This window comes from Homo sapiens, chromosome 12 (genome assembly GCF_000001405.40).
Source record: "Homo sapiens chromosome 12, GRCh38.p14 Primary Assembly".
Lineage (NCBI taxonomy): Eukaryota > Metazoa > Chordata > Mammalia > Primates > Hominidae > Homo > Homo sapiens.
The window spans coordinates 86933740-86945422 of NC_000012.12; the positions used below are offsets into that span (position 1 = coordinate 86933740).

An 11683-nucleotide genomic window follows, 5' to 3' on the forward strand; every position below is an offset into this window, starting at 1 on the left:
ATACAAAGTTTAACCTCATATCACAACAAAATTAAACTAGATTGGAAAAAAAAACCAAAATTATGTATAAGATAAAATTGCATTTTTTAATTATTATTATTATTATTTTTTTTTTTTGAGACAGAGTCTCGCTCAGTCGCAGGCTATAGTGCAGTGGCGCGATCTCGGCTCACCGCAAGCTCCGCCTCCCGGGTTCACGCCATTCTCCTGCCTCAGCCTCTGGAGTAGCTGGGATTACAGGTGCCCGCCATCACTCCTGGCTAATTTTTTTTGTATTTTTAGTAGAGACGGGGTTTCACCGTGTTAGCCAGGATGGCCTCAATCTCCTGACCTCGTGATCCGCCCATCTCGGCCTCCCAAATTGCTGGGATTACAGGCGTGAGCCACCGCACCGGCCTTTGTTTTTAATTTTGTAGAGACAGAGGAGTCTTGCTTTGTCACCCAGGCTGGAGTGCAGAGGCACAATTATAGCTCAGTATAACCTGGAACTCCTTGGCTGAGGCAATCTTCCTGCTTCAGGCTCTCCAGTAGCCAGGACTACAGGCATATGTCACCATGCACAACTAATTTTTTAAAATTATTTTTTGGAAAGATGATGTCTCACTATGTTCCCCAGGCTGGTCTTGAATTCCTGGCCCCAAGCAATCCTCTCTCCTTGACCTCCCAGACTTCTGCGATTACATGCACCATCCACTGTGCCCAGCCTAAAAATTGCACTTCTAAATAATGTATGGTTAAAATAGTTTGAACTAAATGAAAATAAAATCAAAATGTCAGTATTTGTGCGATACAGTAAAAACAGTACTTAGAGGGAATTTTATAGCATTGAATGCATTTATTTGAAAATAAGAAAGATTAAAAACTTGTTTTTATCTTATAAAACTAGAAAGAAATAAAATTAAATCCAAAGTAAGCAGAATAAAATAATTTATAAATTAGACTAGAAATCAATTAAATTAAAAACAGATAACCAATAGAAACAGATTAAACCTGTTTCTTTGAAAAAATAATAAAATTGATAATCCTTTAGTCAGGCTACCCCCACCCCCCTAAAAAAAGAGAGAATATACAAATTTTTAGCAGAAATGAAAGTGGGGCCATCACCACTATGATTTCATGGACATTTCAAGAATAATAAAGGAATATTAAGAAACACTCTATGACCACAGTTAGATGAAATGGACGATTCCTCAAAAGACACAATCTGCCAAAACTCACACAAAAACAAACAGATAATAGGAGAAGTTAAGCCAATGTTTAATAACCAAATCAGAAAAAGCCAGGTCTTAATGGATTCACTGGTAAATTTTAGGCAAGAAATAATACTGATTCTCCACAATATCTTGCAGAAAATAGAAGCAATTGAAATACATCCTAACTCATACTATGAAGCCAATGTTACCCTAATATCAAAACCAGACAAAAACCTTATAAGAAATGTGTATTACAGACCAATATTTCTCATACACCTAGGCATAAATATCCTCAACAAAATGTAAGCATTATGAATTATGCACTATGAACAATTGAGATTTATGTCAGTATGCAAGACTGGTTAAGTTTTTCAAAAATCCATTTATGTAATTCACCACATCAACAGGCTAAAGGAAAAAAACATGCAATCCCATGCTATTGTATTAATAGATGTAGAAAAAGGATTTGACAAAATCCAATAGCCATTTATGATAAACTCTTAAGAAACACAAAGAGCAGAGTGGAGATTCTTTGGCATGAAAACATATACCAAAAAATTTACAGCTAACATCACCCTTAATGGTGAGAAACTAAGTGCTTTCACACTGAGATAAGAACAAAGCATGAATGTCCTCTCTCATAACTACTATTCAACATCCTACTGGAAGTCCTAGACAATGCAGAAAATCGTGAAAAGAAAATAAAAGATATATCAATGAGAAAGGAGGGATAAACATCTTTGTTCACATATGATATAATTATTTATGTAAGAATTGTCAAAGAATTTTAAAAAACCTACTGAAACTAATAAGTAATTTTGGCAAAGTTTCAATATACAAAGTTAATACACACAAGTCAATTGCCTTCCTGTTTATCAGTAAGAAAAAAATGAACTTTGAAATTAAAAACATATCATTAAAATTTAGCACCAAAAATGCAAACGCTGCGGTATAAATCTGACAAAATATGTATACGATCTATACAAGGAAAACTACACAACTCTGTTGAAAGAAATAAAAGAAGATTTAAATAAATGAAGATGTTTCAAGTTCGTGAACAGAAAGACTCAATATTGTTAATATGTCAGGTTGTCCCAACTTAGCCTAAAGATACAATGCAATATCAAGCAAGATCTTAACAAATTATTTTATGGATTTATTTTATGGATATTGACAATGTGATTCTAAAGTTTATATTAAAGGGAAATGATTCAGAAGAGCCAACACAACAGCAAAGGACAGCCAGAGGACTGACACTACCCAACTTTAAGACTCATATGAGGCTATGATAATAAAGACATGGTGTTATTGGTGAAAGAATAAATCAATCAATCAGTGGAACAGAATAAAATGTCCCCAAATCAACCCTCACATACATTGTCAAATGATTTTTGATGAATAAAGTGAGACAATCCAATGGAAAAAAGATGCTGAAAAGAAAAATAATGCTGGAACAACTAGACATGCACATGATTTAAAAAAAGGAATCTAGAAACAGACCTTACACATATCAAATTATCTCAAAATGGACCATATGCCTAAATTTAAAATGCAAAATTATAAAATTTCTACATAACATAGGGAAAATCTAGGTAACCTTGAGTTTAGAGGTGATATTTTATATATAACACCAAAACACTATACAGGAAAAAGATCAGGTAATTTGGACATTATCAAAATAAAATCTTCCACTCTCCTAATGACAGTGTTTAGAGAATGCAAAGTTAAGCCACAGGCTGGGAGAAAATATTTGCAAAACACATATCTAATAAAGAACTTTTATCCAAATATACAAATAACTCTTAAAACTGAACAGTAAGGAAAACATTTTAATTAAAAAATGGGCAAAATACAGGGCCAGACATTTTATCAAAGAAGATCTATAAATGGCAAATCAGTATATGATAAGGGAAATGAATTGCAAATTAAAACCACAATAAGATATCACGACACACCTATTAGAATGGCTAAAATCCAAAATGCTGACAACACGAATTGCTGTCCAGGTTGTGGAGCAACAGGAACTCGCATTCATTGCTTGTGCAAATACAAAATGGTACAGCTACTTTTAAAGACAGTCTAGCAGTTTCTTATGAAGCTAAAGAGTCTTACCGTATGTTCCAGTAATCACACTCTTTGGTATTTTCTCAAACGAGTTGAAAACTTGTGTCCATACAAAAAAATTGCACCCAAATGTTTAAAGCAGCTTTATTCCTAATTGCTAAAACTTAGAAGCAAATTGTGGGGCATCCATAGGACAGAATATTATTTAGCGAAAGAAAGAAATCTACTCATGAAATGAATTAAGGAAACTTTAAATGCATGCTGCTGTGTGAAAGAGCCCTATTTGAAAAGGCTACATACTATATAACTCCAACTATATGACATTCTGGAAAAGGCAAAACTAAAGAGACAGTAAAAACATGAGTAGTTGCCAGGATCTTGAGCAGAGAATGGAATGAACAGGCAGAACACAGGATTTTGGGGGCAGTGAAACTATTTGTATGACAGTGTAATGACAGATAAAGGACTTTATGTATTGGGGAAAACCCACAGAACTCTACAAAACAAGGTGCAAACCACAAAATAAAATATACATTTTTGTTATTAATAATGTATCAATATTGCTTGATCAATTATAATGAATGTACCACAGTAATGGAAGACGTTAATAATCAGGAAAATCAGAGGGGGCATTTGGGAACCCTTGTACTTTTTGTTAATTTTTTTCTGTAAACTTAAAACTTCTCTAAAAAATGAATTATATTAATTTAAAAAATAAGATGAGTTTTTTTAGTCATTGTTGTTTTCCAATAATTATTTTATAAGTAATAAAATAGCCTAATAAGTAGAGCAACATATAGATGAATATTAATCCAAAATAAAAATGCAAGGGGTTTATAAGCAGAAAAGTTATGTAAGAAATTATAAAGAAAAACAGTTAAAACTTTGACATAAAAATTAACTCCATAAAAAAGAAAATTGTAAATATTCAACTAAAATTAGAAAAAATACAAATGAGAATAAATATTGGTGAGGTATTAGAAAATAAGTGTCAATATCTTAAAGCAGCATAATTTAGTCCATTCTGTAATAGAAATTAGTACTTATGACTGGGGTACTGCCTCAAAAACTAAAATCAAATATTTGTAGAATTGTTTTAGGGGTTCAGCAGTAGGTAGTGAGAAAAAATATATATCATCAGGGTATGAGACAGTATCCAAATTTTGTAGTGGAAAATATTTAGTGCAATACACCAGCAAAGAACTGGAAAACATATGATACAGCTAATTTACCCAGGATTGGTGGGTAACAGGAGGTTAAAATAGCTTGTTGGTAGCACATAATTTTTGCTCTTTGCTGTGTTTGACAAGGCATTATAAGAAACTTATAGCTAAGCAAAGCATTAGCCATTTTGCAAGCAAGAATAAAAGGGAATAGAAAAGAGTAAATAAATTTAGGCATCAGGATGGAAAAGACAAAATGATAGTTGGTCAATATTAAATGATAAGAATGAATGTATTTTAGAAAAGAAGACCATGAAGTACAACTAACCCTGCTACAAGAACTAAAACAGTGCCATCACAAGACCCAGTGTTCATAACTAGAAATGAATTAAGGTGGTGCCTGAGAATTCCTCTTTATTATACCCTTGTTTGGCTCTGTTCTTACATAAAGATCATATTAAGAAAGCATTGTTCAAAAATGAGTACACATTATAGGAAATTACTCAAAAACCCAATACTAGCTGTCAGGCCTCTGAGCCCAAGCCAAGCCATCGCATCCCCTGTGACTTGCACGTATAAGCCCAGATGGCCTGAAGTAACTGAAGAATCACGAAAGAAGTGAATATGCCCTGCCCCACCTTAACTGATGACATTCCACCACAAAAGAAGTGTAAATGGCTGGTCCTTGCCTTAAGTGATGACATTACCTTGTGAAAGTCCTTTTCCTAGCTCATCCTGGCTCAAAAAGCACCCCCACTGTGCACCTTGCAACCCCCACTCCTGCCCGCCAGAGAACAAACCCCCTTTGACTGTAATTTTCCTTTACCTACCCAAATCCTATAAAACAGCTCCACCCTTATCTCCCTTCGCTGACTCTCTTTTCGGACTCAGCCCACCTGCACCCAGGTGAAATAAATAGCTTTATTGCTCACACAAAGCCTGTTTGGTGGTCTCTTCACACGGAAGTGCATGAAATTTGGTGCCGTGACTCAGATAGGGGGACCTCCCTTGGGAGATCAATCCCCTGTCCTCCTGTTCTTTGCTCCGTGAGAAAGATCCACCTACCACCTCAGGTCCTCAGACCGACCAGCCCAAGAAACATCTCACCAATTTCAAATCCAGTAAGCGGCCTCTTTTTACTCTTCTCCAACCTCCCTCACTATCCCTCAACCTGTTTCTCCTTTCAATCTTGGCGCCACACTTCAATCGCTCCCTTCTCTTAATTTCAATTCCTTTCATTTTCTGGTAGAGACAAAGGAGACACGTTTTATCCATGGACCCAAAACTGTGGCACCGGTCACAGACTGCGAAGGCAGGCTTCCCTTGGTGTTTAGTCATTTCAGGGATGCCTCTCTGATTATTCACCCACGTTTCAAAGATGTCAGACCACGCAGGGACACCTGCCTTGGTCTCTCACCCTTAGCGGCAAGTCCCGCTTTTCTGGGGAAGGGGCAAGTACCCCAACCCCTTCTCTCCTTGTCTCTACCCCTTCTCTGCTTTTCTAGGGGAGGGGCAAGTACCCCTCAACCCCTCTCCTTCACCCTTAGCGGCAAGTCCCGCTTTTCTATGGGGCAAGAACCCCCAATCCCTTATTTCCACGCCCCAACCTCACATCTCTGCGCCCCAATCCCTTATTTCTGAGCCCCAACCTCTTATATCTCTGCACCCCAATCCCTTATTTCTGCACCCCAACCTCTTACATCTCTGTGCCCCAATCCCTTATTTCTGTGCCCCAACCTCTTATTTCTGTGCCCCATCCCTTATTTCCATGCCCTGACCTGTTATCTCTGTGCCCCAACCCCTTTTCCCACTTTTCTGGAAGGTAAGAACCCCTGAACCCCTTCCCTCCATTTCTCTACTCTCTCTTTTCTCTAGGCTTGCTTCCTTCACTATGGGCAACCTTCCACCCTCCATTCCTCCTTCTACTCCCTTGGCCTGTGTTCTCAAAAACTTAAAACCTCTTCAACTCACACCTGACCTAAAACCTAAAATGCCTTATTTTCTTCTGCAATGCCGCTTGACCCCAATACAAACTCGACAGTAGTTCCAAATAGCCAGAAAATGGCACTTTGAATTTTTCCATCCTGCAAGATCTAAATAATTCTTGTCGTAAAATAGGCAAATGGTCTGCGGTGCCTGACATCCAGGCATTCTTTTATACATCAGTCCCTTCCTAGTCTCTGTGCCCAGTGCAACTCGTCCCAAATCTTCCTTCTTTCCCTCTCGCCTGTCCCCTCAGTACCAATCCCAAGCGTCGCTGAGTCTTTCTAATCTTCCTTTTCTACAGACCCATCTGACTTCTCCCTTCCTCCCCAGGCTGCTCCTCACCAGGCCGAGCTAGGTCCCAATTCTTCCTCAGCCTCTGCTCCTCCACCCTATAATCTTTTTATCACCTCCCCTCCTCACACCTGGTCCGGCTTACAGTTTCGTTCTGTGACTAGCCCTCCCCTTCCTGCCCAGCAATTTACTCTTAAAAAGGTGGCTGGAGCCAAAGGCATAGTCAAGGTTAATGTTCCTTTTTCTTTATCCCAAATCAGATAGCGTTTAGGCTCTTTTTCATCAAATATAAAAATCCAGCCCAGTTCATGGCTCATTTGGCAGCAACCCTGAGACACTTTACAGCCTTAGACTCTAAAAGGTCAAAAGGCTGTCTTATTCTCAAAATACATTTTATTACCCAATCTGCTCCCGACATTAAATAAAACTCCAAAAATTAAATTCCGGCCCTCAAACCCCACAACAGGATTTAATTAACCTCGCCTTCAAGGTGTACAATAATAGAAAAAAGTTGCAATTCCTTGCCTCCACTGTGAAACAAACCCCAGCCACATCTCCAGCACACAAGAACTTCCAAACACCTGAACCGCAGCGACCAGGCGTTCCTCCAGAACCTCCTCCCACAGGAGCTTGCTACACGTGCCGGAAATCTGGCCACTGGGCCAAGGAATGCCTGCAGCCCGGGATTCCTCCTAAGCCGCGTCCCATCTGTGTGGGACCCCACTGAAAATCAGACTGTTCAACTCACCTGGCAGCCACTCCCAGAGCCCCTGGAACTCTGGCCCAAGGCTCTCTGACTGACTCCTTCCCAGATCTTCTTTGCTTAGCTGCTGAAGACTGACACTGCCCGATGGCCTCGGAAGCCCTCTAGACCATCACGGACGCCGAGCTTCGGGTAACTCTCACAGTGGAAGGTAAGCCCGTCCCCTTCTTAATCAATACGGAGGCTACCCACTCCACATTACCTTCTTTTCAAGGGCCTGTTTCCCTTGCCTCCATAACTGTTGTGGGTATTGACGGCCAGGCTTCTAAACCTCTTAAAATCCCCAACTCTGGTGCCAACTTAGACAATACTCTTTTAAGCACTCCTTTTTAGTTATCCCCACCTGCCCAGTTCCCATATTAGGCTGAGACACTTTCACTAAATTATCTGCTTCCCTGACTATTCCTGGACTACATCTGTATCTCATTGCCGCCCTTCCTCCCAATCCAAAGCCTCCTTTGTGTCTTCCTCTTGTATCCCCCCACCTTAACCCACAAGTATAAGATACCTCTACTCCCTCCTTGGCGACCGATCATGCACCCCTTACCATCTCATTAAGACCTAATCACCCTTACCCCACTCAACGCCAATATCCCATCCCGCAGCACGCTTTAAAAAGATTAAAGCCTGTTATCACTCACCTGCTAGAGCATGGCCTTTTAAAGCCTATAAACTCTCCTTACAATTCCCCCATTTTACCTGTCCTAAAACCAGACAAGCCTTACAAGTTATTTCAGGATCTGCACCTTATCAACCAAATTGTTTTGCCTATGCACCCCGTGGCGCCAAACCCATATACTCTCCTATCCTAAATACCTGCCTCTACAACCCATTATTCTGTTCTAGATCTCAAACATGCTTTCTTTACTATTCCGTTGCATCCTTAATCCCAGCCTCTCTTCGCTTTCACTTGGACTGACCCTGACACCCATCAAGCTCAGCAAATTACCTAGGCTGTACTGCCGCAAAGCTTCACAGACAGCCCCCATTACTTCAATCAAGCCCAAATTTCTTCCTCATCTGTTACCTATCTCGGCATAATTCTCATAAAAACACACGTGCTCTGCCTGCCAATCGTGTCCGACTGATCTCTCAAACCCCAACCCCTTCTACAAAACAACAACTCCTTTCCTTCCTGGGCATGGTTGGATACTTTCGCCTTTGGATACCTGGTTTTGCCACCCTAACAAAACCATTACATAAACTCACAAAAGGAAACCTAGCTGACCCCATAGATCCTAAATCCTTTCCCCACTCCTCTTTCCGTTCCTTGAAGACAGCTTTAGAAACTGCCCCCACTCTAGCTCTCCCTGACTCATCCCAACCCTTTTCATTACACACAGCTGAAGTGCAGGGCTGTGCAGTCAGAATTCTTACATAAGGACCAGGATCGCGTCCTGTAGCCTTTTTGTCCAAACAACTTGACCTTACTGTTTTAGGTTGGCCATCATGTCTCCATGCAGCCGCTTCTGCTGCCCTAATACTTTTAGAGGCCCTCAAAATCACAAACTATGCTCAACTCACTCTCTACAGTTCTCATAACTTCCAAAATCTATTTTCTTCCTCATACCTGATGCATATACTTTCTGCTTCCCGGTTCCTTCAGCTGTACTCACTCTTTGTTGAGTCTCCCACAATTACCATTGTTCCTGGCCCAGACTTCAATCCGGCCTCCCACATTATTCCTGATACCACACCTGACCCCCATGACTGTATCTCTCTGATCCACCTGACATTCACCCCATTTCCCCAGATTTCCTTCTTTCCTGTTCCTCACCCTCATCACGCTTGATTTATTGATGGTAGTTCCACCAGGCCTAATTGCCACACACCAGTAAAGGCAGGTTATGCTACAGTACAAGCCACTAGCCAGCCTCTTAGAACCTCTCATTTCCTTTCCATCGTGGAAATCTATCCTCAAGGAAATAACTTCTCAGTGTTCCATCTGCTATTCTACTACTCCTCAGGGATTATTCAGGCCCCCTCCCTTCCCTACACATCAAGCTCGAGGATTTGCCCCACCCAGGACTGGCAAATTAGCTTTACTTAACATGCCCTGAGTCAGATAACAAAAATACCTCATAGTCTAGGTAGATACTTTCACTGGATAGGTAGAGGCCTTTCCTACAGGGTCTGAGAAGGCCACCCCAGTCATTTCCTTCCCTTCTGTCAGACATAATTCCTCAGTTTAGCCTTCCCACCTCAATACAGTCTGATAACAGACGAGCCTTTATTAGTCAAATCAGCCAAGCAGTTTTTCAGGCTCTTAGTATTCAGTGAAACCTTTATATCCCTTACAGTCCTCCGCCTTCAAGAAAAGTAGAATGGACTAAAGGTCTTTTAAAAACACACCTCACCAAGCTCAGCCACCAACTTAAAAAGGACTGGACAATACTTTTACCACTTTCCCTTCTCAGAATTCAGGCCTGTCCTCTGAATGCTACAGGGTACAGCCCATTTAAGCTCCTGTATAGACGCTCCTTTTTATTAGGCCCCAGTCTCATTCCAGACACCAGACCAACTTAGACTGTGCCCCCAAAAAACTTGTCATCCCTACTATCTTCTGTCTAGTCATACTCCTATTCACCGTTCTCAACTACTCATATATGCCCTGCTCTTGTTTACACTGCCAGTTTACACTGTTTTTCCAGGCCATCACAGCTGATATCTCCTAGTGCTATCCCCAAACTTCCACTCTTAACTCTTGAAGTAAATAAATAATCTTTGCTGGCAGGACTATCCTGAATCTCCTTAGGCACTCTCTAATCAGATGTCCTGAGTCATCCCAATTCCTAGAACTTTTATACCTGTTTTTCTCCTTCTGTTATTCCATTTAGTTTCTCAATTCATCCAAAACCGTATCCAGGCCATCACCAATCATTCTATATGACAAATGTTTCTTCTAACATCCCCACAATATCACCCCTTACCATAAGACCTCCCTTCAGCTTAACCTCTCCCACTCTAGGTTCCCACGCCGCCCCTAATCCCGCTTGAAGCAGCCCTGAGAAACATAGCCCATTCTCTCTCCATACCACCCCCCAAAAATTTTCGCCACCCCAACACTTCAACACTATTTTGTTTTATTTTTCTTATTAATATAAGAAGGCAGGAATGTCAGGCCTCTGAGCCCAAGCCAAGCCATCTCATCCCCTGTGACAGGCCCACATGGCCTGAAGTAACTGAAGAATCACAAAAGAAGTGAATATGCCCTGCCCCACCTTAACTGATGACATTCCACCACAAAAGAAGTGTAAATGGCTGGTCCTTGCCTTAAGTGATGACATTACCTTGTGAAAGTCCTTTTCCTAGCTCATCCTGGCTCAAAAAGCACCCCCACTGTGCACCTTGCAACCCCCACTCCTGCCCGCCAGAGAACAAACCCCCTTTGACTGTAATTTTCCTTTACCTATCCAAATCCTATAAAACAGCCCCACCCTTATCTCCCTTCGCTGACTCTCTTTTCAGACTCAGCCCACCTGCACCCAGGTGAAATGAACAGCTTTATTGCTCACACAAAGCCTGTTTGGTGGTCTCTTCACATGGATGTGCATGAAACTAGCAACACATAAACTCTGGTTTAGAAGAAGTAAAAATGTACTGCTGATATGAGAGAATATGCTATATTTCATTTATCATAATACATGTGGTAATAAGCTGTACAGATCTGCACAGCTAATCTACTTAATATAATTTTTTAGTCTTGAGAAACACAAATTGTTTTGCTCATCAGTTCAATTTCTAATCTATGTTTAAGTTCATTACATAAAATTCATGGATTTATACCAGCATTCTAAGCAAACAGAGTTTGTGGCATTGGAAAAAAAGGATTCTGTGATTGTTTAAGTGAATTATGTTATAAATGCAAAGAGAAGATAAAATATTTTTTAAAAAAATTTCTAAAATATATATCTATATATATTTTCCCTTTTTTTTCTGAACCTTTTTTTTGCTGAACCTTTCTATAGTACAGAAATATCATGCAAAAAAGTTCATTCTCAGTCAAGGTTTAAAATAATTTTCTTAAACAGAAAATCCACTTAATATTCATCTAAATTTCTTTCCATAGAGAAGATTTTTGTATATACAAAGTATAATTACGATATATTATTCAAACCTACACTGTAAATGAATAAGAGATATGTAGCAAAAGAAAATGTGCTTTGAGTCCTTTACATATTATCATTGAAGCAGAGTAATAAGATCATATTTTCTGTTAGGAG

The 11683-nt window shown here is 39.9% G+C and overlaps 3 annotated features.

The window, feature by feature from the left end:
* Positions 4800-5376: an enhancer, noted in NCBI's record as "OCT4-NANOG-H3K27ac hESC enhancer chr12:87332316-87332892 (GRCh37/hg19 assembly coordinates)". NCBI's record gives its function as "activates a minimal SCP1, AML or CMV promoter by ChIP-STARR-seq in naive and primed H9 embryonic stem cells {active_cell/tissue: H9 hESC(naive and primed)}" and the evidence as "EXISTENCE:reporter gene assay evidence [ECO:0000049][PMID:30033119]".
* Positions 5377-5953: an enhancer, noted in NCBI's record as "NANOG-H3K27ac hESC enhancer chr12:87332893-87333469 (GRCh37/hg19 assembly coordinates)". NCBI's record gives its function as "activates a minimal SCP1, AML or CMV promoter by ChIP-STARR-seq in naive H9 embryonic stem cells {active_cell/tissue: H9 hESC(naive)}" and the evidence as "EXISTENCE:reporter gene assay evidence [ECO:0000049][PMID:30033119]".
* Positions 10430-11132: an enhancer, noted in NCBI's record as "OCT4-NANOG-H3K27ac hESC enhancer chr12:87337946-87338648 (GRCh37/hg19 assembly coordinates)". NCBI's record gives its function as "activates a minimal SCP1, AML or CMV promoter by ChIP-STARR-seq in naive and primed H9 embryonic stem cells {active_cell/tissue: H9 hESC(naive and primed)}" and the evidence as "EXISTENCE:reporter gene assay evidence [ECO:0000049][PMID:30033119]".